At 35.7% G+C, this 27,379-nt stretch overlaps 1 protein-coding gene across 8 annotated transcripts in view, besides 1 other annotated feature; it reads right to left on the bottom strand.

Annotated features, from left to right (window-relative positions):
- The window catches only part of CCSER1 (coiled-coil serine rich protein 1), a 1,477,902-nt gene that overhangs the window by 135,057 nt on the left and 1,315,466 nt on the right, over positions 1-27,379 (bottom strand). The gene's annotated exons all lie outside the window — the stretch shown is intronic.
- Positions 19,843-20,368: an enhancer, noted in NCBI's record as "NANOG hESC enhancer chr4:92371022-92371547 (GRCh37/hg19 assembly coordinates)". NCBI's record gives its function as "activates a minimal SCP1, AML or CMV promoter by ChIP-STARR-seq in naive H9 embryonic stem cells {active_cell/tissue: H9 hESC(naive)}" and the evidence as "EXISTENCE:reporter gene assay evidence [ECO:0000049][PMID:30033119]".

Genomic DNA, 27,379 nt, shown 5'->3' with positions numbered 1-27,379 from the left:
CTGTACAATACCCTAGCACCTAAGTGTCTATAACTTCACTTCAAATTCAACATTCAGTTTAACAACATTCAGTTTAGCAAGTTTACAAAATATTAAAATAAAGATACGATTAGCCCATGGCACTGTAGATGTCATTTCAGCACTGGTTATATAAGTAGGCTTTTTGCATCTACAGATTTAACAGTCGGACTTTCAATCTGAAAGTCCATGAAGGTAATTTGAAATTTTCCAGAGACATATATTTGCATCATAAACATTAGAATGTGTAGGAATGAGTTTCATAGCTTATGAATGAGCAAAGCAAATGGAGTTTCATAGCTTATGAATGAGCAAAGCAAATTTTAAGTTTAGCAAGTTCACTTGCTAAACTTCTTCTATGATTGCACCACTTAGTAGAGGGCACTGGGAAATCACTATTAATTATCTTCCAAAACATACAAAATTAGTCTTATTTCCTCTTTTAATGTGATTTCTAGACACTTATTAATAAGTATCATAGATCCAATGTAGAATTGTTTAAACAATATGCAGAATTATGGTTGAGCCACTTCATGTAAGGTAGTCATATCTAGTTAAGCATTTGTACACAGAGCATTGAGTATTTGACCTAACTCAACCTAGGGAAGTTCTCCAGGGCTTAGGTTAGTCTAGACTGGTATGATTCTCTTTCACCCTAATCTTTTAAGCAAACTGAGACATTCAAGTCAATGTGAAGGATAACAGGGGGAAAACTACTTGCTAGTTTTGGGGTGCCCCAAGAGAGGAAACAGAGTGAACACACAGTGGTTGATAGGTTTCCTAAAAACTAAGCTGAACGAAAAATCTGCCTTAAAAGCATTATTAGGGAAAATATTATATGTAGAAATACATGTAGTCCACCTTTTCTTAGAGTCAGAACTTTTTTAAAAACTATGTTCTACTGAAGTGATTCTTAAAGCACTTCATGTCTCATTGTTATCTTATATCATAGCAGGCCAGAAGGATTTTTCAGCTAAAATGTCAGCTTTACAAACAGAATTCCCAAGATATGAAGTTTAACTTGCCTAAAGATATGAGCAGCTTGTCAAAAATTTGAAATCAGTAATACACAAGAAAATTAATTGATAAAATGAAAGATCCAATGTAGATTTGGTATATTAGATAAATCTGCATCGAATCTTTCATATTATCAATTAATTTTCCACTACTTATTTTTTCTTTTCACTTTTCTAATAAACTAACAAACTATTTTGAGCAGTGGACTGTAAGATCTGGAAGGCAAAGCTTCTGAAATTGGATAATTAGTTTAGATATGAGATTGAATTTTGGCCTAATATCCCTTAAAATTATATGGACATATTTATGATAGCCTTAGTATCACCAATGAGACATGAGTCAATGGCTTACATCTTGAGATGTATTTATACCTCAGCACAACCATTTATATTTCTGATATTTCCAGCATCCAGAGCATTATTGCACCTCTCCCAAGTAAACTGATTAATTCTTTTTCAGTTATAGGATCAAATCTATATTTAAAAGAATATATTTTAATAATTTTTATGATTAATGTTAACTCTAAATGGAAAACTTAAATATAAAAACATAAACATATACAACCAAAATTTGCAAAAAATCATCCTTATTTGTTGGATTACTAATAAAACATAACATTGTGATTGCTTCTTTTTATCAAAAAAAACTATTCCTATGGTTATAAATATTTTATTACCTCCATATTTTTCCTTTTTTTTTTAATTATATGTTAAGTTCTAGGGTACATGTGCACAAAGTGCAGGCTTATTACATATGTATACATGTGCCATGTTGGTGTGCTGCACCCATTAACTCATCATTTATATTAGGTATATCTCCTAATGCTATCCCTCTCCCCTCCCTGCACACCATGACAGGCCCAGGTGTGTCATGTTCCTGTTCCTGTGTCCAAGTGTTCTCATTGTTCAATTCCCACCTATGAGTGAGAACATGCAGTGTTTGGTTTTTTTGTCCTTGCGATAGTTTGCCAAGAATGATGGTTTCCAGCTTCATCCATGTCCCTAAAAAGGACATGAACTCTTCCTTTTTTATGGCTGCATAGTATTCCATGGAGTATATGTGCCACATATTCTTAATCCAGTCTATCACTGTTGGACATTTGGGTTGGTTCCAAGTCTTTGCTATTGTGAATAGTGCTGCAATAAACATATGTGTGTATGTGTCTTTATAGCAGCATGATTTATAATCCTTTGGGTATATACCCAGTAATAGGATGGCTGGGTCAAATGGCACTTCTAGTTCTAGATCCCTGAGGAATCGCCACACTGTCTTCCACAATGGTTGAAATAGTTTACAGTCCCACCAAAAGTGTAAAAGCATTCCTATTTCTCCACATCCTCTCCAGCACCTATTGTTTCCTGACTTTTTAATGATCACCATTCTAACTGGTGTGAGATGGTATCTCATTGTGGTTTTGATTTGCATTTCTCTGATGGCCAGTGATGATGAGCATGTTTTCATGTGACTGTTGGCTGCATACATGTCTTCTTTTGAGAAGTGTCTGTTCATATCCTTTGCCCACTTTTTGATGGGGTTGTTTGTTTTTTTCTTGTAAGTTTGTCTGAGTTCTTTGTAGACTCTGGATATTAGCCCTTTGTCAGATGAGTAGATTGCAAAAATTTTCTCCCATTCTGTAGGTTGCCTGTTCACTCTGATGGTAGTTTCTTTTGCTGTGCAGAAGCTCTTTAGTTTAATTAGATCCCATTTGTCTATTTTGGCATTTGTTGCCATTGCTTTTGGTTTTTTAGACATGAAGTTCTTGCCCATGCCTATGGCCTGAATGGTATTGCCTAGGATTTCTTCTAGAGTTTTTATGGTTTTAGGTCTAACATTGAAGTCTTTAATCCATCTTGAATTAATTTTTGTGTAAGGTGTAAGGAAGGGATCCAGTTTCAGCTTTCTACACATGGCTAGCCAGTTTTCCCAGTACCATTTATTAAATAGGGAATCCTTTCCCCATTTCTTGTTTTTGTCAGGTTTGTCAAAGATGGTTGTAGATGTGTGGTATTATTTCTGAGGGCTCTGTTCTGTTCCATTGGTCTATATCTCTGTTTTGGTACCAGTACCATGCTGTTTTGGTCACTGTAGCCTTGTAGTATAGTTTGAAGTCAGGTAGCATGATGCCTCCAGCTTTGTTCTTTTGGCTTAGGATTGTCTTGGCAATGTGGGCTCTTCTTTGGTTCCATATGAACTTTAAAGTAGTTTTTTTCTAATTCTGTGAAGAAAGTCATTGGTAGCTTGATGGCAATGGCATTGAATCTATAAATTACCTTGGGCAGTATGGCCATTTTCATGATATTGATTCCTCCTCTCCATGAGCATGGAATGTTCTTCCATTTGTTTGTGTCCTCTTTTATTTCCTTGAGCAGTGGTTTGTAGTTCTCCTTGAAGAGGTCCTTCACATCCCTTGTAAGTTGGATTCCTAGGTATTTTATTCTCTTTGAAGCAATTGTGAATGGGAGTTCACTTATGATTTGGCTCTCTGTTTGTCTCTTATTGGTGTATAGGAATGCTTGTGATTTTTGCACATTGATTTTGTATCCTGAGACTTTGCTGAAGTTGCTTATCAGCTTAAGGAGATTTTGGGCTGAGATGATGGGGTTTTCTAAATATGCCATCATGTCATCTGCAAAGAGGGACAATTTGACTTCCTCTTTTCCTAGTTGAATACCTATTATTTCTTTCTCTTGCCTGATTGCCCTGGCCAGAACTTCCAACCCTATGTTGAATAGGAGTGGTGAGAGAGGGCATCCCTGTCTTGTGCCAGTTTTCAAAGGGAATGCTTCCACTTTCTGCCCATTCAATATGATATTGGCTGTGGGTTTGTCACAAATAGCTCTTATTATTTTGAGTTACGTCCCATCAATACCTAATTTATTGAGAGTTTTTAGCATGAAGGGCTGTTGAATTTTGTCAAAGGCCTTTTCTTCATCTATTGAGATAATTATGTGGTTTTTGTCTTTGGTTCTGTTTATATGATGGATTACGTTTACTGATTTGCATATGTTGAACCAGCCTTGCATCCCAGGGATGAAGCCCATTTGATCATAATGGATAAGCTTTTTGACGTGCTCCCTGATTCAGTTTGCCAGTATTTTATTGAGGATTTTTGCATCAATGTTCATCAGGGATATTGGTCTAAAATTCTCTTTTTTTGCTGTGGCTCTGCCAGGCTTTGGTATCAGGATGATGCTGGCCTCATAAAATGAGTTAGGGAGGATCCCCTCTTTTTCTATGGATTGGAATAGTTTCAGAAAGAATGGTACCAGCTCCTCCTTGTACCTCTGGTAGAATTCGGCTGTGAATCCATCTGGTCCTGGACTTTTTTTGGTTGGTAGGCTCTTAATTATTGCCTAAATTTCAGAGCCTGTTAGTGGTATATTCAGGGATTCAGCTTCTTCCTGGTTTAGTCTTGGGAGGGTGTATGTGTCCAGGAATTTGTCCATTTCTTCCAGATTTTCTAGTTTATTTGTATAGAGGTGTTTATAGTATTCTCTGATGGTAGTTTGTATTTCTGTGGGATTGGTGGTGATATCCCCTTTATCATTTTTTATTGCATCTATTTGATTCTTCTCTCTTTTCTCCTTTACTAGTCTTGCTAGCAGTCTATCAATTTTGTTGATCTTTTCAAAAAACCAGCTCCTGGATTCACTGATTTTTTGAAGGGTTTTTTGTGTCTCTATCTCCTTCAGTTCTGCTCTGATCTTAGTTATTTCTTGCCTTCTGCTAGCTTTTGAATATGTTTGCTCTTGCTTCTCTAGTTCTTTTAATTGTGATGTTAGGGTGATTTTAGATCCCTCCTGCTTTCTCTTGTGGGCATTTAGTGCTATAAATTTCCCTCTACACACTGCTTTAAATGTGTCCCAGAGATTCTGATATGTTGTGTCCTTGTTCCCATTGATTTCAAAGAACATCTTTATTTCTGACTTCATTTCGTTATATACCCAGTAATCATTCAGGAGCAGGTTGTTCAGTTTCCATGTTGTTGAGGGGTTTTGAGTGAGTTTCTTAATCCTGAGTTCTAGTTTCATTGCACTGTCATCTGAGAGACAGTTTGTTATAATTTCTGTTCTTTTCCATTTGCTGAGGAGTGCTTTACTTCCGACTATGCGGTCAATTTTGGAATAAATGTGATGTGGTGCTGAGAAAAATGTATATTCTGTTGATTTGGGGTGGAGAGTTCTGTAGATGTCTATTCGGTCCACTTGGTGCAGAGCTGAGTTCAATTCCTGGATATCCTTGTTCACTTTCTGTCTCATTGATCTGTCTAATACTGACAGTGGGATGTTAAAGTCTCCCATTACTGTTGTGTGGGAGTCTAAGTCTCTTTGTAGGTCTCTAACGACTTGCTTTATGAATCTGGGTGTTCCTGTATTGGGTGCATATATATTTAGGATAGTTAGCTCTTTTTGTTGAATTGATCCCTTTACCATTATGTAATGGCCTTCTTTGTCTCTTTTGATCTTTGTTGGTTTAAAGTCTGTTTTACCAGGGACTAGGATTGCAAGTCCTGCCATTTTTTTGTTTTCCATTTGCTTGGGAGATCTTCCTCCATCCCTTTATTTTGAGCCTATGCGTGTCTCTGCATGTGAGATGGATTTCCTGAATACAGCACAGTGATGGGTCTTGATTCTTTATCTGATTTGCCAGTGTGTGTCTTTTAATTGGAGCATTTAGCCCATTTACATTTAAGGTTTATATTGTTATGTGTGAATTTGATCCTGTCATTACGATGTTAGCTGGTTATTTTGCTTGTCAGTTGATGCAGTTTCTTCTTAGCATCGATGGTCTTTATATTTTGGCATATTTTTGCAGTGGCTGGTACCGGTTGTTCCTTTGCATGTTTAGTGCTTCCTTTAGGAGCTCTTGTAGGGCAGGCCTTTTGGTGACAAAATCTCTCAGCATTTGCTTGTCTGTAAAGGATTTTACTTCTCCTTCACTTATGAAGCTTAGTTTGGCTGGATATGAAATTCTGGTTTGAAAATACTTTTCTTTAAAATGTTGAATATTGGCCCCCACTCTCTTCTGGCTTGTAGAGTTTCTGCTGAGAGATCCGCTGTTAGTTTGATGGGCTTCCCTATGTGGGTAACGTGACCTTTCTCACTGGCTGCCCTTAACATTTTTTCCTTTATTTCAACTTCAGTAAATCTGACAATTATGTGTCTTGGAGTTGCTCTTCTCGAGGAATATCTTTGTGGCATTCTCTGTATTTCCTGAATTTGAATGTTGGCCTGCCTTGCTAGGTTGGGGAAGTTCTCCTGGATAATATCCTGCAGAGTGTTTGCCAACTTGGTTCCATTCTCCCTGTTACTTTCAGGTACACCAATCAGACCTAGATTTGGTCTTTTCACATAGTCCCATATTTCTTGGAGGCTTTGTTCATTTCTTTTTACTCTTTTTTCTCTAAACTTCTCTTCCCACTTCATTTCATTCATTTGATCTTCAATCACTGATACCCTTTCTTCCCATTGATCGAATCAGCTTCTGAAGCTTGTGCATTAATCACGTAGCTCTCGTGCCATGGTTTTCAGCTCCATCAGGTCATTTAAGGACTTCTCTACACTGGTTATTCTAATTAGCCATTCGTCTAATCTTTTTTGAAGGTTTGTAGCTTCTTTGCGATGGGTTCGAACTTCCTCCTTTAGCTCAGAGAAGTTTGATCGTCTGACGCCTTCTCTCAACTCGTCAAAGTCATTCTCTGTCCACCTTTGTTCTGTTGCTGGTGAGGAGCTGCATTCCTTTGGAGGAGGAGAGGTGCTCTGATTTTTAGAATTTTCAGCTTTTTTGCTCTGTTTTTTCCCCATCTTTGTGGTTTTATCTACCTTTGGTCTTTGATGATGGTGACGTCCAGATGGGGTTTTGGTGTGGATGTCCTTTCTGTTTGTTAGTTTTCCTTCTAACAGTCAGCACCCTCAGCTGCAGGTCTGTTGAGTTTGCTGGAGGTCCACTCCAGACCCTGTTTGCCTGGGTATCAGCAGCGGAGGCTGCAGAACAGCGATTATTGCTGAACAGCAAATGTTGCTGCCTGATCATTCCTCTGGAAGCTTTGTCTCAGAGGGTTACTTGGCCATGTGGGGAGTCAGTCTACCTCTACTGGGGGGTGCCTCCCAGTTAGGCTACTCAGGGGGTCAGGGACCCACTTGAGGAGGCAGTCTGTCCGTTCTCATATCTCCAGCTGCATGCTGGGAGAACCACTACTCTCTTCAAAGCTGTCAGACCGGGACATTTAAGTCTGCAGAAGTTTCTGCTGCTTTTTGTTCGGCTATGCCCTGCCCCCAGAGGTGGAGTCTCAGAGGTAGGCAGGCCTCCTTGAGCAGAGGTGGGCTCTACCCAGTTCAAGCTTCCTGGCCACTTTGTTTACCTACTCAAGCCTCAGCAATTGCAGGCGCCCCTCCCCAAGCCTCACTGCTGCCTTGCAGTTCGATCTCTGACTGCTGTGCTAGCAATGAGCGAGGCTCCGTGGGTGTGGGACCCTCCGAGCCAGGCACAAGATATAATCTCCTGGTGTGCCATTTGCTAAGACCATTGGAAAAGCACAGTATTAGGGTGGGAGTGACCCAATTTTCCAAGTGCCGTCTGGCACCGCTTCCCTTGGCTAGGAAAGGGAATTCCTTGACCCCTTGCACTTCCCGGGTGAGGCGATGCCGTGCCCTGCTTTGGCTCACACTCGGTGGGCTGCCCCCACTGTCCTTCACCCACTGTCCAACAAACCCCAGTGAGATGAACCTGGTACCTCAGTTGGAAATGCAGAAATCACCCATCTTCTGCGTGGCTGACGCTAGGAGCTGTAGACTAGAGCTGTTCCTATTCGGCCATCTTGGAACCACCCTTCCCATATTTTCTTTTATTTCACAGAAATATTTATCAAAAATATAAAGTTTTAGAAGAGAGCTTCAATATCTGATACGTACAAAATATAATGACATATTTGCATAAAATATGAATAAAAAGGGATTTAAACTGTATGATAAGGAGGAAATTATTTCAGTTGAAAATTTTCTTTCAATCTCAGGGTGAAAATCTCATTTATTCAGGATTTTTGTTACTTCAGAATTCATGATTATTAAGGCAATAACTAATTGAAGATTACATTTATATAATCTCTGAAAAGTTTCACTCTTAAACATTTCCCCTTACATCTTTTTATCCCTTAATAAGATTGTACTTTTGTTTGAGTGAGCAGCAATAGGTCCCTGGAATTATAATTTATGATGAAACACATTAAATAGATAGTAAAAGAGCTCTTAATTTGCCCATAATGAATGTATTTTCACCAGTTACTTACTTCTCACTTGGTTTATTCCATAAATGGGCTATGGTCCTTAGTCAGAAAGAAGGATAGACTCCTACTGCTTAGTATGGATCTGCTACATGCCTGCTTAGAATATGTTCTTAATCATTTGTACAAAAATAGTTACTGAGAGATACCCTTTTGAACATTACTGTGCTAGGCTTTAGGGAACCCAGGAATAAACAAACTAAAATCTCTGACTCAAAGCTACTTTTCTATTCATAAATCAATCCAATAGGTATGCTACATTGTTTGAAGATAAAACAGCCATTTTACTAATAAAGAGCTCCACCGAAATCCATACAAGTATAGCTAATCCAAATGAGGGCTGGTGGTCAGGAACCTTAATACCACAGTGATAAAAGGACGTCCTGGTAAGGGGTTTGACAATGCACAGGGGTCATTTGTTGTCCCACAACTATACTTTTTTTTTCTTAATAAAGGATATATTTTACACACTCTAGACTAAACTACATGTGTGCAAATTCCATCTGTGCCACTTTGTACCTGTGTGGTCTTAGGTACTCTACTAACTTCTTTGTGTCTCAATTTTCTCACGTGTAAAATGGAATTCAATCAGTAATATCCTCACTAGTTTGTGGAGATTAATGAGATACTACAAATTCTAAGTAAAACATGGAGAATAATTTTTGAAACATGGCAAGTGCTTAATAAATTTTAGCTGTTATTATCATCATTGTCATTGTGGAGTGCTAAGAAAGTATTTCTGTGTTTTAGCCATAGACTGGCTAAATAAATTATGCCAAAAACTTGAGATCCTGGGCTATGAGCAAGTCTTTGGAAGTAAATTTACAACCATCTAGATAGTGAGAGAACTCAAAAGAGATTTACCTACCTCAGAGTGGTATGTGTTTCCATTTCAAGAGAAACTGAGACTCATGGTCTTGGAGACATCTCTAAAAGTCATAAAAGTCATAGAAGCCAGGGAAAATGGGATTTTTTTTATCCTTTGAGGGGATTTTCATTCCAAAGGTTAGAGTAAGAATAAATTTTCCTTTTCTTTCCATCCCCAAGGAATAGAAATTTTTCTCCCTCCTTTTGGGATTTGTGGTGAAAGCAACCATCCTTCTCTGTAGCATACAAGTAGATATAATGTATTTTCTTTCATCCTCACATTTATGGATGAAAGTGTAAGGCCACTCACAATAAGAGATTTTACCACCTGGCTTTCACGGTGTGCTCGAAGAGTAAACACTGGGGTGGAAGGGATCAACACAGTTGTTGATATGTAAATATTAATGATTAACTTGTCTCTGATCCAGTGCAAATTAAGGATAAGGTTAATACAGATGATTATTCCAAACCCAACAATTATCATCATCATCACCATCATCACCAAGACTCAGACTAGCTAGACTCTAGCTGGTAGATACACAAAAATTGTTTCTCTTCTTCCTGGGTACAGGGCTAGACTATATTTTCTAATCTTTGTGGCATATCGTTAGAGCCATCGGACTGAATTTTGACCAGTAGAACGAGGGCAAAGGGAATGTCACCTCCTGGACCTTAAAAGCTATTCCTCAATTCTCTGCATTATTTTCTCTTACCTCTTCTGCTGGCTGGATGCCGAAAATCCAACAAGAGACTTTGAAATCTGAGATGTTAATGGAGTCACTAGATAGAAGGAGCAGTACCCTAACCCATCCCTACGAATTATCAATATTCTTAGACGAAGGAAATAAACAGCTTTGTTTATTTAGAACACATGTAAATTTTTTTGTTTGCAAATTAAAGACAAATTACTGATTTTACTTTCAACTCTCCATGGAAGCTGGCCTTGATATTTACCACTCAGTCAAATGCTCCTGCAATGTGATCTTGCATTGCCTGATGCTTACTCTACCTTTGAGACTATGTGAAGAAGGGCTACATATTTCCCTTCAAAATGCTCTGCTTGCCACTGCCAGTGGCTGAGTTGCTATGATATTTCTATCTCTTAGGCTTTTTTCTTAGTCAATGGCTATCTCAAATAACAAGCAAGGTGAGGAGCTGTTTCTCATCATAGGAAAGTTATTATATTCAGGTGTAAAATAATCTAGTAAGCAAGTGAACAACAGAATTTTATAAACTGGAATAACTGCAGTTTTTGCAAAGTTAAAAATACTGATGGAGGAAAGAGTAGTCCTTGAAGTAGAATTCAATGTTAAGGCCACAGACATTTGAGCAAGATTTACTCTCTGGTATAGTGAAATTAGAAATTGTACACTGGTCTTAAAGACAGAGGTAGCAGAAGTAAGTCACCATTTTTTTTCCCAAGAACTTCTGATCATTCCTGGAGCCTGGCAGCCAATCAAATATGCTTCTCTAAATCTCTAAATATTCATCTTTGTATCTGTTATTTCATCTCCCTACCTTGGAGAGCCACGTATATCACAGCTCTTCGGTCTTGTTATCCTGTGTTACTTGGCAGTCTTCACATACCTGAAATTACTTTCCTCTGTCCTCTTGCTAGGTGGTAGGATGCTGGCTTAGGAATCAAACAATTTTATTTGTATCCATCTGCTCCCAGAAACACTCATGCCTATATACATATATATATATGCATGTATACAAACACATAACACATACACACTCACATTCCTAGTATGCATATTCCTAATGCTTCAATAATAATTATGCTCTATAACCTCTTAAGCCTCCCTTTCATACAACACTTATCAACAAATAACTAAATAATAAAAATAAATACAATTCTAACAGCTCATTATCCCCAGTGCTTCTTTTTCACTATAGAATTTCTGTTTTTAAAAAAAGACTTTGTAAACAAATTGTTATAAGTCACATTTTATGCACAGAATTTTTTGATTATTTAAAATTGATTTTTAATATGAAGGAAACATTATATATTGTGTCCCATAAGAACTCTTAGGGAAAAAAAACCCATAAGTTCCATTATCATAATATTTTGTTCCTACATTTGTTCAACAAATATTTATGATAACCTAAAGGATTCATCAAAAATAGGGAGAGGAGGTCATATATTTTTAAAATGCCACTATCACTGTGAGAAAAATCTCAAAACAAATTCAGTTAAGTTACAGGATACAAAATCATTGTACAAAAGTCAACAGCATTTCTATATGTTAACAGTGAACAACTGGAAAAATAAAAAACAATTCCATTTACAGTAGCTATAAAAATAACTAGAAATAAATTTAAGCAAATAAGTGCAAGATCTATACAATTAAAACTGTAAAGCACTGATGAAAGAAATTGAAGAGGACAAGAAATGGAAAGATATTCCATGTTCATGGGCTAAAAGAATTAATATTGCCCATACCACCCAAAGTGATCTACAGATTCAGTACAACTCTTATCAAAATACCAATGACATTCTTCACAGAAAAAGAAAAATAATTGCAAAATTTCTGCGGAACCACAAAAGACCCACATAGCCAAATGAATCCTGAGCAAAAAGAACAAACCTGGAGGCATCTCACTACCTGACTTCAAAATATACTACAAAGCTATAGTTCCCAAAACAGCATGCATGGTACTGTATAAAGATAGACACATAGACCAATGGAAGAGAAGAGAGAACCCAGAGAGAAATCCACATATTTACAGCCAACTCATTTTCAACAAAGGAACCAAGAACATACATTGCTCTTGTATGGGGGGAAAGGACATTGGGGAAGAGTCTCTTTAATAAGTAGTGCTGGTAAAATTAGACATCCATATGCAGAAGGATGAAAGTACACCCCTATCTCTCTATATATACAAAAACAAACTCAAGATGGATTAAAGACTTAGACTCAAAACTATAAAACTTCTAAAAGAAAAAAATTGGAGAACTACTTCAGGACATTGGTCCAGGCAAAGATTTCTTGAGAAAGACCTCAAAAGCATGGCTACTAAAGCTAAAGCATGGCATTCTAGAATATACATAACTATATAAAGCCATTATTGCATTATATAGTTAAATATTCATTGAAAATAACACATCAGTTCATAGTCTGACATCATATATCATACACTTGTATCTAATATAATTTCATATCAAATTTCAGTTTAGCTATTTCAAAGAACTTATGAATTAATGTGTTACCATTCTTTAATATCAGTACATTTTAGATGATAAAGCTTGCCTACAGAAAAAATTACACTTTTTGATTGGAAGAGAGGTAAAAAAGTAATCAATGATTATTTTAAAATTAACATGTTAAAAATTGTAATACAAAAAAATCTCAAGTAAAACAATTATTTTATTTTATGTTTTTTTTCAATAGGATCTCACTCTGTTGCCCAAGATTGAGTGCAGTGGCACAATCACAGCTCACTTCAGCCTCGACCTCCTGGTATCAAGCAATCTTCCAGCTTCACCCTCTCAAGTAGCTGAGACTAAAGGCATGCGCCACCACACATGACTAATTATTTTTTTTATTTTTTTGTAGAGATGGGGTCTTGCTATGTTGCCCGGGCTGATCTCAAATTCCTGGCTCAAGTGATCTCCTGTCTTGGGGTCCCAAAGTGTAGGGAGTACAGGCATGAGCCACCAAACCTAGCCAATTAAAATTTTAAAGAAAATGTCTTCTGGGTTGAAACTAAACAAAAATAGGAGTTGAAGATATTCTTGAACTAGGATAATCAAGTTAGAAAAAAATTGTACAATGTTAAAACATGTATTTTCAGGCAAAATAAACTATAGTACTGATTAAATATATGTGTATAATTTACTCATGTTCTTTACAGTAAACTAGAGAAATAATATGAATATCAGTTGATATTTAGATGTGGTGGGATAAAAATGGGAGACGTGTAGCCATTCTTTAGGAAAAGGTAAATTTGGGAAACTGCAAATATCAGATAAAGATAAAAATATTAAAACACATGGATTGTATGTTCCTTTCAATGCTATGCACATAGTAGCTACTCAACGAATACTTCCTAAATTAAATAATTCTTATTTTAATTTTAGCACAGGGATTATGATACAGGTATATGACACGAAAGAATTACTCAGGCCAATAAATAATTCAATTAATAAAATGGCATTTTTATAAAGTAAATGGACAGCAATGGAAAATTTAATTTATCCAGATTGGCAAACAAGATAACATTTATTAGATTCAATAAAAATATCAGTATTAGTATTTTAGTGGGTCTGGTTCCTGACCAACTTAAGTATATTCCTGAAACAACAAAGGTAAATAATATCAGAGCTACAATTTATAAAAACAGAAAGTATGAGTGGTAACTTTCACCTGGTAACTTGGAATTGTTTGACTTGGAATAAGTAAAATGATAGAAATACTGCTTGAAGTGGTGAAATAGGATTTTTTAAAATTCTATTTTCAGAATGACTACTTCAATACATGAAAAAAACTTAAAAAAAGAGAACAGAATGGCAAATATGGCTTTCAAGTTGAAAAATACAGTTAGAAAGTGCATAACAAGCATTTAAGAAAGTACATTAAAAGATATAGTTGGCAATATCACTCTAGCCATTTCTCCTTTGAAATGTCCCTTTTCTGTTCCATCTGCCTACCTCTTTTTCATTTATTCATTTAACCCTTGCAAGGGACTGAGCATTTGAGTCCCTCCAAAATTTAGATGTTGAAACCCTAGCCCCTCTGTGATAGTATTTGGAAATGAGACCTTTGGGAGGTAATTAGGTCATGAGGGCAGAGACCTCATGAAAGGGAATACTGTCCTTATGAAATGAGGCCCAAGAAATAGTTATCTGTCTTTTCACCATGCAAGGACACAAGATGAGGTCAGCAATCTGCAACCCACAGGAGAACCCTCTCCAGGAACTGACCAGGCTGGAACTCAGACTTCTAACCTCCAGAACTGGGAGAAATAAATTTCTCACAGGTTTACAAGACACCTAGTTCATAAAATTCTGTGGTAGCAGCCCAAACTGACTAAGACAATCATGATTCAGATTCTCATTATCTTAGGTCAGAATTACAGAGATGACTTTTCCAGTTTACCTCCTTGTCTCTGAATTCCCCTTCACTATGCATTCTTAACAAGGTTTGCAGACAAAATTTTCCCTCGACTTTAAAGATCTCAATAACGTGAGCCATTCCTGTGCATATACAACTTTCCCCCATTCCTCCACATACACACATCTTTACTCTCATCAAATTCCTGTCTAATATCCTAATATTCTACCCAATCCAATTGCTTCCAAATATTTGTTCTGCAATTATATTTCAGGCATAGTGCTGGGAGTTTCAACTCCAAAGAAAAGGCATAATCACGCCTTCAGTCTGGTTGGGGGCGTCTTAGTCCATCCAGCCTGCTTTAACAAATTCCTTAGACTGGGTAGTATATGAAAAACAGAAATCTATTTCTCATAATTCTGGAGGCTGGGAAGTCCAAGAAGGAGGTTCCAGTATATACGGTGTCTAATGAGGCCTTGCTGTCTGTTTCCTAGATGGTGCCTTATTGCTGCATTCTCACATGTCAGAAGAAGCAAGAACACTCCATTCAATCTCTTTTATAAGAGCACTAATCTCAATCCTATTCCTGATGCTAGGGCCCTCATGATTTAATCATTTTCCAAAAGACCCCACCTGTTAATGCTATCATATTGTATACTGAGTTCCAAAAATATGAATTTTTGAGAGAAAAGAATATTCAGACCATAGCAAGGAGAAACATAAATGACTACAGCACAGTACATACCCTGACAGAATGAGGGGACACCTAATTCAGTTTTCCATAAGTCAGATCCCAGGATAGGTGACACAGGAACTTTCTATTACCTCCACTCATTGTGTTATTTTCACTTGGAATGTTTTCTCTCTTTCCCTCCATGAAATTTTATTAAACTCAAATATTTTGTGAGTAACCTAGATATATTTGCTTCCTTTTATATACAAAACATGATCCAGCAATTACATTTTACTTTTTTTAGAAGTTGGAAAAAATAGAAATCACTGGCAAATAGTCTCCTTAAAATTAGAATTTAAACAAATGAAGAAATTCAGAAAATTACTATTCCAGTTGAAACTGCCACTGGTGACAAATATAACTGTGAACATTTCAAAATCGAGATGCTAAAAGGGTTAGAACAAGGGAATTTTCTGTGTCTACTATGGCTAAGATTTCATCAGCTTCTCGGGGAGTCGATTTTGGGAAATTAACACCAGACAGAACACCTTAATTAGATGTTGTTAGTTGACACATATATAAATATACTTAGATAGACTCTTGAATAAACTGTTACAGTGCCAACTTAGTAATTTACAATTAATAGCTTCCTTTTAAAAAATTAAATAAGATCCTGAGTTAACAAGCTGTTTCAGACATTATAATAGGCTGAATAAAATGTCCCCTCAAAATATCCAGAACTTAATCCCTAACACCTGTAAATGTTAACTTTTTGGCAAAAGGAAGTTTGCCAAAAAGATTAGATTAAGTTAAAGATCCAGAGATGGGGAGATTATCCTGGATTATCCAGGTGGGTCCTAAATGTAATCTGTGTGTGTCCTTATAAGTAGAAGGTGGAGGGAAATTTGACCGCAGAGGCAGAAAACAATGTGACTACTAAATAAAAATGAGATACTGCTGGCTTTAAAGATGGGGGAAGGGGTCACGAGCACAAAATGCAAAGAATGCAGATCTAGGAGCTGGAGAAGCCAAGGGAACTGATTCTCTCCTCAGAGCCTTTGTAGGGCGACCAGCCCTGCAGTCATACTGATTTTTCCCCAATGAAACTGATTTCAGACTTCTGATTTCCAGAACTGTAAGAGAATAAACGTGTATTGTTTTAAGCCAGAAAGTGTGTGACAATGTTTTACAACAGCCATAGAAAACCAATGCAAACACTATTAAAAATAGTTCCATGTTCTTGATTACCTCTGAACGTTAAACCATGTATATGAAAGTTCTGGAGCTCATAGATGTCAGGTTAAGAAACACTTAATATAGAATGCTGTTCTAGTGATATTTATTCCTGTTGACATCTGTGAGACACTGTAAACATACCTCATTACAATACTAGACACAAAGAATGTGCTCATTAATTATTTGATTATTTTCTTCCATTCACACATCCACTTGTGTATCCAGGAGTTATTCCTTTCATAAATGGCCTATCACCAGATGAAAATATGTGATATAATGATAAAGCCACATATATTTTCCTTTATATAATTTCTTCTGTTTCTTCCAAGCCTAGTATAGACTCACCTCACTATGCTAGAAAATCAGCTATAGATTCAGCTAAGATATAGAACACCTGCCAGATATGCTTGGGTTCTTCGGAGGATATTGCTGAGCAGGTAGGCAAAGGTGAAGTAGTGACTGCAATTTATCGGGAATAGATAGAAAACTCAGTACACATCATTGATTTTACATGCTCCAAAGGCTTAGGTTTAAAAGTCAGTATGCCTGGCAAGGAAGAGGTGGCAAGACATTTAAATGGATGTAAAATTTTCTTTAGGAGAAAAGTGCTCTGGAAAAAGTAAACATTTGTAACAGAGAAATAAAAAGGGGCCACTCAATTTCACAGGAAGCAGTCTTGAGAGACCCTCTGTGGCCTGAGATACAAATGACCTGGCTGACGGGAGAATTCAAAATACAATGGGGCAAAACAAATCACCTATAAAATGAACATGGTGACTTTCTCAAGCAGACAGTGTTATAAGTTTGATTGACTTGTTTCTGCCTTTCCTAATTTGCAGAACACTAATTTCACCAAGAAAAGACATAAAACTCCAAATGCTAGAAAGTATAAGGATAGTTATTTACAAAATTTACAGAATCACCATGAACTACTACCAAACAAAACTCTAAATGACCAAATGATAATGTATAAATCATAACCTATAGTGGGCTCAAATCCCTTACTTTGCTAGTTAAATAAATTAGACAATTTGAAACCCAGTGAAGTGACAGGTAATAAAATGAGGTAACTTCATTTAAAAGAGAGTAATACAAATATTTCTCAAAATATAGAGTATACTTGATATGCGAAGTCTTGAGGATTATTTGAACAATGAAATCTTTACTGCCATTCGGCAACAGTTACCAAGGTTTAGTGATCTTATTTTCCATAACTAAGGACAATGTAAGGCAGAGATTTCATTTGCAGGAAAATGAGCTAGAAAAAAATCTTATTAGGAATGCTCTTCAGCTTCAACTGCAACCAAAGAGCTCAACAGTGCTTGTCAAGAACAAAGTGAGGTCTCCAGTCTTTATTAGCTTTACAGGTCAAACATTGAACTTGCTGTGACTAAGAAATTAAGGAATTCATTCAGTTGTTTTAAGATGTATGAATTTCATTTTCCATCTTTAGCTTCTATAGTATCTCAGCACATTTGGAAGACAATGTGCAGTTATTTACCCTTTTCTGTTATCACTTTGGCTGTATCATTTCTGGAAATGTTCTCAAAGGAGTGACAAAGACATACATTTAGATTTGCTTGACATATGTGCTTTGCCAGTCAACACCAATATGAGTGTTTTTTAGTATTTCTGGTACTCTACAAATGACAAGTAGTGTACCCAATACAAATTAGCCTTATTAAGACAAAACCACATAAAAGGCAATGCTTACCTGCCATTGCCTCTGACTCTTACAGTCACGTGGAGTCCATGGAGTTCAGAAAATTTTGTAAAATGTTTTCAAAAGGCTTGAGTTACAAGTTCAAATTATTTCACAGGCTAGGTTCATGGGATCTGTGACAAGATGATGATATGCTCTACTTGAAGACATTTAAATTTAACTTTAATTGTACTGGCAAAAGAGAGGATGTCTGTGTGTCAATTTTGCCCTATGACTATGGATTATCATTTCTGAGACTCCTGCCATAGAAGTTACTTTCCAGGATTTGTTGAAAACATCTAAGCCTACACTTCATAATGAGATGTAAATACTTACTATCCAGACATCATAGTGTATATAGAGCATGTTCTGATGCAAACCCTTAAAAATGAAATAGAGATAAGTCTTCAGGAACACAACTAAGATATTGTTGGCCCAGTCCAGAGTACCTTTTTGGATCACATTGGACCAGCTCAACCCAGGCTAATCAGAAATGTTTACTTCTCGATAATGGTAATGCTTATTACTAATACTTAATATGAAACTGGGACTTTGCATTTTTACTTAAATTACTTACTACTAAAGTTTTATTTTTAAATTCTATAATATTTTATTCTACAGTGTCTAATCTGCTATTAATTCCACCCAAGTATTTTTTTATCTCAAACATTGTATTTTTCAGCTTTAGAAATTAAATTTGGGTGCATATTGTATGTTACATGCAGAATTTTTCAACATGCTCATGATTTCCTCCTTCTTTTTGGTTATTTGGAGAATACAGTGGCTCTTTTAATGCTCTTGTTTGCTTATTCTATTATTTGTCATTTCTGGATGTTTCTATTGATTGGTTATTCTCCTTATTATTATTCCTGGTCTTCTACTTCTTTGAATGTTCAACAATTTTTTATTGAAGTGTGTCTGGGTGCTGGACTTTTTTCTTTAAGAGAGTAATCCTTTAAATATTTTTCAAATTTACTTTAGTTTGCAACTAAGCTAGTTGGAAATAGTATGATGCTTTTAAAATGAGCTTTTAAAATTCATTAGGCCCATAGCAGCCTTTACTTCTAGGACTAATTTGGTCCCATGCCACAGTCTTAATGTTTGAAGCCCTTAAATTTTCATATGTTGAAATTATAACCCCCAAGGTAATGGTATCAGGAGGTGGGATGTTTTGGAAGCTGATTAATTAGGTCATGAGCATAAGGCCTCATGAATGGGATTTTTGATTTTATAAAGTAAGCCCAAACAAGCTGGGGTTCCCCTTTTCTTCTATGTGAGGATACAGCTAGAAGGTACCATCTTTGAACTAGAAAACTCACATTCACCGGACACTGAATCTGCCAGTGCTTTGATTTTGGCTTCCCAGCCTCCAGAAATGTGAGAAACAAATTCTGTTGTTCATAGGTCACTCAGTCTATTGTATTTCTTATAGTATCCCTAACAGACTAAGAAATGACCCTTTTGCCTGATGTTTCATGTATTACAACTTTTTTCCCATCCTGGCTTTTTGGATTGTGAATTACTCCTAGCCCTGTCTGAGCTCTGATAATTGTGTCACCCATTTCTTTCCCATGACATTTTTTTAGCATTGAGTAGTTTCTCACAGAAATGCTGATTAGTACCGAACTGAAGACCGGAGTGAAGTCCTCAGCAGACCTCTGAGCTCTCTTGTGCAATTCTCTCATCTCACTTGCACTGCCTCATCAATTACAGCCACCTTAACTAACTCCCCAAATACTCTGTCTCCTCAATGAAGGAGATAACTGAGCTCTGTTTAGGTTCCTTCTCTCTGAACTTCAGCCTGGAAACTCTGCAGACAGCAAGCCAGGACAATTGTAGGGCCCATCTCGTTTGTTTCTCCTCACTCCAAGATTACTATACTGTGACACCTATAGTCCGATGTGTGAAACCTGTTGTTTTATATATTGTATCAAGATTTTTAGTTGTTTAGGGCTACAGAGTAAATTTGGAAGCCATGATTCCAGATAAATGGAAGTCCTTCCTAAGGTTTTATAGTTGATAAAGGTAAGTACTTCCTGAGGTTTTATAATCAGATGTCTCATTAAGTCATGCTTGTTTTGATGGTTTTTTTTCCCATGAATGAATAATTCTCTGCTCTGTGTTTCTAAACAATGCTTTCTAAGAAATTCATGATCGTCGGTATGTGAGGAGGAAATATAGGACGTTTTGAGTAGAAGAGTCTCTCCCTAGTAGGACTGGGAAGTAAGACAATTCTCTTGCACAGCATGACGACCCATCCTGTATAAAAACAAATCTCCAGCCATTGTGAGGCTTTGTTTCAGCATATAACTTGCCCTGTGTAGTACCCAGTTCATAGCAATGTAGCAAATAAATAAATCACATATGCAGATTAGAACTTGGTTACTCAGTCTGAGAAGAACAAAACATAAAATGAAATAAAAAATGGTTAACTCATGATCTCTAAATGTAACACTGCCATATTGAAACTACTTTCAATTCAACTCCTCAAAATGAGAAAGATTTGAGAACATTAAAAAGTTATATACTTTATTCAGCTTTATTCAGTTAACAGTGACCAATTCTATCTTTTTCCAAAAAGGCAGATGAATCTTTTCAAGAATTCATAAAATTTCAACAAACTTAAAATTTTAATCACTTTTTAGTCCCTAAATACAAAACAATTAACGAAAAATAATTAATTTAAATAAATAATTTTAAGCATATTAGGGACTGAAAAGTGATTAAAATTTCACAGTATCATAATCTTGGAGTGAGGAGAACCAAATGAGGTCCGCCCTACAATTGCCCTGGCTTGCTGTCTGCAGAATTTCCATGGTGAAGTTCAGAGAGAAGGAACCTAAACAGAGCTCAGTTATCTTCCTGTATTATTACAAATTTGTAATCATTTTAAATTTTTATTTTACTGGAGAGAGAGGTGTCTACTGAGCACCAAAAAAAATGACACAATTTAAACTGTCTAAATGTCTTATGATGCCAAATGATTCAGATTCATTTGGATTTCATATATCAAATTTTTAACTTCAAAATTAGGTGTCAACCTGGGACTCTCAATTACCACCACTTTTCTCATTTTTTTTACTCAATGAAATCTTTATCATAGACCAACCCTAATTAGTGGACTAATGTTTTGAAAAATATTACCACATCTGCTTCAGGAGCATAGAGGAGTGAGTGACTCATTCTGTGGTGAGAGCAGCTTCTCAGGAGAGTAACGTCTATCTCTCTGGCATGAGGAATAATTTACATAAAGCAAATCATCCTGACCTCTCGAGGGTTTTGTATTTGCTTTTCTCTTTCTGAATTCTTTCTACAGGTTTCTACATGGCCCACTCCCTTCCATCTTACAAGTCTCTACATGTATGTGACATTAGTAGTGAGTCTTTCCCTGACCACCCCATGTAAAACAGTAAACCATACCTACCCCCTACCCCATCACTATTCTTATTCCCTCTTATTTGTTTCAAAACTCTTATCACTGTCTATAGTTCTGTATATTCACTTGTAATTCCTTTGTTGTCTGCCTCTCCCTACTAGAATGCAAGTTCTGCAAGGGCAGTAACTTCATGCATTTTTTTCCCCTGTTGTATTACCAGTTCCTACAATGATACATAAACATTTGTTGAATGAATAAATTAATTAAGCACACAAGATTAATTAATCTTGGCACATAATATATGGCATATCATAAATGTTCAGTAAAATTGTGAACAACTTTTTATCATCATAATAATCATTATTAGCTTTATTTTATTATGGTAAAACGCCAAATTATTCCAAGGACCCTGAATTTTTGCATGGATACATGGATATCAGATAAAAATATAGAAACACTCTTAACACTCAAAATAAGCAACTCTATCTAAGACCACACACTGAATGAGTTAGGATTATTTCAAATAACACCTTCAGGTAACATTATCTATCCAAATATGTAATTGGTTGTTTTTGATAAATATGTTTTAAGCAATTTGAACTATTATTTAAGTAATTAAATGGTTTATTGAGCTAAGATATTTTATTGAATGAAATTCCCTGAGTTACACAATCAAGCTTCATACATTTAAAGAAGAACAGGAGAATTTACAGAAAGTGTGAAGAATAATGTGTGTGTGCTGAAAATTAAATTTATAGAAAAGCAAGAACAGAGAAATTAGTCTGTCAAATAGAAATATTTGAAAATTTGAAAGACAAACATTAATATAAGTTGATAATACTAAAAGGAAAGGTAGAGCATTAATACAAAATGAGACCGATTAATTTGGACCAGAATGCAGAGAATGATCCAATTTCAATTCATGCTTTTATCCTCAGGTAGATCATTGCCTTATGAAGTAGCAACTTGCCTATGTAAAACTTTGCTAAATTACATTACTCAACTCTTACACTGAAAGTAATATGAACACTCACATAAACATCTAAAATAATGCAAATAAAACATAATATACACTTAATAAGCACCACTTTTTATGGACCACTCTTTATGAGACAATAGGAGAAAAAATTAAAGACACAAGCATGCTGTCAAAAGGCTCAAAATCTGAAAGATTCACACATGTAGACAAATAAGTATATTTCACTATGATAAGTACTGTATTACTGTACTTTCTAGACTTTAAATGTCTTGGGCCAGTGCAATCTTAATTTCAAAAAAATTAAACAAAAATGGGGCTGTCAACTTGCTTTCTAGCATTACTGCATAAAGTATATACTATTAGACCATCAATCATAGTAGAAAAACAGTATCATCATTAAGTAAAATATCTTATTAAATTTATTTAACTTCATGGAAAACTAATTTTTCTGTCCTTATTTTTTAAATAATTCAAATTTCATTACAAACTGACATATCATTGTTTTCAGCAACATTGCTATAATAGTAGTGTGATAGGTACATGGAGAAGGAAGTGATTTGTTCAATTCTGGGAGCAGCTCCACAGGAGGGAGACATTTGAACCACCAATCAAGATGAGGAATAAAGGAGAAATAGCAGGTTTAGGGGGGAGTGTAAGATAATAAGTGACAAAGCCAACACTATAAAGGGTGACAGGACAAGGAACAAAAGACAAGGAGCACTAGTCATTGACAGAAGAAAAGGGGAGAATCAACTATAAAGAGTAAAAGGAGAGAAAAGGCATTATGTTCTATGACACGAAGCAGACAACCTCTGGCACTGCAATATTATGTGTAACCTCAAAAGTCACTGGACTTCTTAATACTCTGTAACTCTCTCTTTGGAGCCTCAAGAGATTTCCTTAGCAAGCTTAAGACGCCTAAACTCAGGAAAATGAATGGAAGTTAGGAAGAGCTAAGAAAGCCCCTGATGCCACATGTCAAGCATTGGTTGACACCCCATGTCCCTGTGCTAAAGCCACACCAAGTGATATGGTCCAGCTACCCTTAACTTAGGGAAAGGAGACATTTACTTCCTATAACACTCCATCTCCATTCACAGTTTTAACTAAACCAAATCAAGAAAAAAGTACCCCGAATTCAAGAAGAAATTCAATATATTGCCAAATATGTTTTATAATAAATACCTGCTGTAGACATCATAACCGCAAAGCTGAAATAACCTAAATATCTAATAAGAAAATATTTTATACAGATATTCATCATAAAACTGTATTGTCAAATATTTTCCAGAATATAAAAATATTTAAAAATAATATCAAGTAAAAAGGATGCAGGACTATTATATATATATATATATTTATTTATTTAAAATATATATTTGTATAAAATATTCATTACATAGACATTACATATTCATTACTACATACAAAGATGCACACACACACACACACACAAAGAATAGAAAGAAAAATAGCAGAATATCAGTTGTTATGTATTCATCTGGGGTTACAGACTTTTAAAAATGTCGTTTTAAAATTTATTGAATTTTGAAAGTTTCCATAATGAATATGCATAATATTTGTAACAGAAAAACAGTATAGTATTTCTAGAGCACACTCTGCCAATACGTAAATCTTCTGACATGTAAATGGTTAATTCTCACTGTATAGAAAACTTGGTAGTTCAAAATGTCTAAAGTGATGACCTTTTACTTAATTTATGAATAAATAATTGTTTTCTTATAACCAATGTATTCTTGCTTTTGGCCACTGCTTGATGTGACTTAGTCTGCTAAAATCCTATCCTTATCATCTGGCAAAAAAGTATGAGGAATAAAACTTTTTAAAATTATACTTTCCCTCAAAAACAAAAAAGCAAACAATGAAGGCACGACCTTCACACTGTTCTTACTAGGCATTAAAACAATACACAATAAAACATTACAAAAGCAAAACAAAGTCAGAATGAAACACTTCTTCCCACTCAAACTATACAACAATTATTCACTTGTTTTTCTTATTTATAATATATATTCTAAGCACTTCAAAAATAATAGTCATTTCTTAAGTGTAATTATCAGTATTAAGAATCAATTCTATTCTAAATCTTTTATGGAAATGCAGGGTGGCAGATGCAGAATTTACACAGACCAGATAAAGAAAAAAAAACCCACTATTTTTGAAGAGGTATCCAATCAAAGACAGTAGAGTGTTATTATGACATCACTGTGCTTTATTCTTCTCCAACTTGGGCCAATTTTTTTGTTAATAGAAGGTACCTTTGCAAATTTGGGGGTAATATATGTTAAATGGATGGTGGATAGTTAGATTGAAAGATAAATGATAGAGAGAAGCTATGGATAGATGACAGGGATATAAATAGAGAGATAAAAACAAATAGATTGGATGTAAAGTGAAAGAAATGGTGGGGGTGAGAAAGTGAGAGAGAATGATAACGAATACATCAGTATTTGGTCTCTACATTTTCATAAAATCAAAAATATATAATCTCTACTGTCAACATTTCTCTTATTCATCATAACTCCCATGCCAGTCCACTGTGACCGCTTGGGAGAAAGTGTCTTTGCTATTGGGTGGCAGAGAGAGAGGAAAAGATGGCTAAAATGAGAAAAAAAAAAAAAAAGGAATTACTATTTCTTACTATAGTTGGCCAAATATCTCTCTTTTTATCTCCCAATACAAAAACTGTTGCAAAATACAAGTAAAATTCATAGCAATACCACCATATAATAAAATAATAAAAATAGATGAAATATCTTAAAATTTTCAAGTCATAAAATAATTCTTGAAAGGGTTTTGCACAGCAGCAGGCAAGAAAAGCCCTACAGGAATTATTTTGTGTTGAAGCAAAGGGGAGATTGTTATTATCTTCTAAAAGTTACCTCAGAGGCAGAAAAGCCCTAGACCAAGTATGAAGCAAATGAGGGAAAAAATAGTTTTTAAAGAATTTATACTCACATTTTCAGGAACATCTTTACAGTATAATGTAGACACATTTGTATCTTTGCTTTTAACAACACACTCTCTTTCCTGTAATAGCAGGATTTATACCAAAGTACATCCTGAAGCACAGCACACTGAAGTGAATGGAATGTTTAGCCATAGTGTGAGGAAGGCCACTGAATTTTAGTAATTGACCTCACCAATAAATTGAGAGCTACTACTGATTAAAGCAAGCAAGGACAACAAACTACAAATATATAAACGTTTTCACCATCATCTGACATTTCACTCACAGTGGTCCATTAGCTTGAAGAAGCAAGAGGCTGGGTGTGGTGGTTAACACCTGTGATCCCAGCACTTTGGGAGGCCAAGGTGGGCTGGTCACCTGAGGTCAGGAGTTTGAGACCAGCCTGGCCAACATGGTGAAACTTCATCTCTACTAAAAATGCAAAAATTAACCAGGTGTGGTGGTGGGCGCCTGTAATCCCAGCTACTCAGGAGGCCGAGGCAGGAGGATCGCTTGAACCCAGGAGGTGGAAGTTGCAGTGAGCCGAGATGGTGCCATTGCACTCCAGCCTGGGTGATAGAGGGAGACTCTGTCTCAAAAAAAAAGCAAAAGAATTGGCACTTTAAAAAAAATGATTTGTGCTCAGTGTGTTCGTGAATCTTGCATCACTTTGCTTTCCTATTATTGATGATTACATCATTAGACATTTTATTTTAGAAAACTTGTATAAAATATGCAGTAGTAAGTTTATATCAAAGAATATGCTCTACTGGACAATTAAATAATTTAGCTTATGCTCCTTGTTCTAAGTGGCTACCAAGCTTTTCACATTGTTGAATACTCAGATTCTCATGTTCTCAGGTTTTTATTTTTAACTCTAGTGACAGAAAAGATGCCATTTGAAGACTAAGGAAAATATCTAAGTATATGTGATCGCACCCCATCAATAAATCATACCATTAAATAATATTCCTGTGTATTATATGTATACATTAATTGAAAAAACCTAATAAAAGTTGAATGAGACAAAATGTATCACAAGCAATTCTTTTGTTTTCTTCTCCTTGGAAATCCATTCTGAAGCCAGGACATATAATTTCAGTAAGTAGCTCTCCTCAGATTCAATAAGGGTATTATTAAGTTTATTCTTACTAATTTTAGGAAGAATTCCACTATACACTTCTTCAAGTATTTGGACAAATAAATTATTCTGAATTGTTAAATATCTATATAATTGGATGGTTATCTAATCAAGTGTGAATAAAAATCCCATTTTTCTTTTTATCTGAAATGAATTATATATATTATATAATACATATTTATATATATATACATATAGTTTTCTCTATACTTAATTTTTTTCTGATCGCTAATATTATTTTCTTTTATTTTATTATTATTTTATTATTATTATACTTTAAGTTTTAGGGTACACGTGCACAATGTGAAGGTTAGTTACATATGTATACATGTGCCATGCTGGTGTGCTGCACCCATTAACTCATCATTTAGCATTAGGTATATCTCCTAATGCTATCCCTCCCCCTCCCCCCACCCCACAACAGTCCCCAGAGTGTGATGTTCCCCTTCCTGTGTCCATGTGTTCTCATTGTTCAATTCCCACATATGAGTGAGAACATGCAGTGTTTGGTTTTTTGTCCTTGCGATAGTTTACTGAGAATGATGATTTCCAGTTTCAAAGTTTACTGAGAATGATGATTTCCAGTTTCATCCATGTCTCTACAAAGCACATGAACTCATCATTTTTTATGGCTGCATAGTATTCCATGGTGTATATGTGCCACATTTTCTTAATCCAGTCTATCACTGTTGGACATTTGGGTTGGTTCCAAGTCTTTGCTATTATGAATAGTGCCGCAATAAACATATGTGTGCATGTGTCTTTATAGCAGCATGATTTATAGTCCTTTGGGTATATACCCAGTAATGGGATGGCTGGGTCAAATGGTATTTCTAGTTCTAGATCCCTGAGGAATCACCACACTGACTTCCACAATGGTTGAAATAGTTTACAGTCCCACCAACAGTGTAAAAGTGTTCCTGTTTCTCCACATCCTCTCCAGCACCTGTTGTTTCCTGACTTTTTAATGATTGCCATTCTAACTGGTGTGAGATGGTATCTCACTGCGGTTTTGATTTGCATTTCTCTGACGGCCAGTGATGGTGAGCAGTTTTTCATGTGT

The sequence above is a fragment of the Homo sapiens genome, chromosome 4 (genome assembly GCF_000001405.40).
Source record: "Homo sapiens chromosome 4, GRCh38.p14 Primary Assembly".
NCBI classification, from domain to species: Eukaryota; Metazoa; Chordata; class Mammalia; order Primates; family Hominidae; genus Homo; species Homo sapiens.
This window is presented reverse-complemented; position numbering and strand designations above follow the sequence as displayed.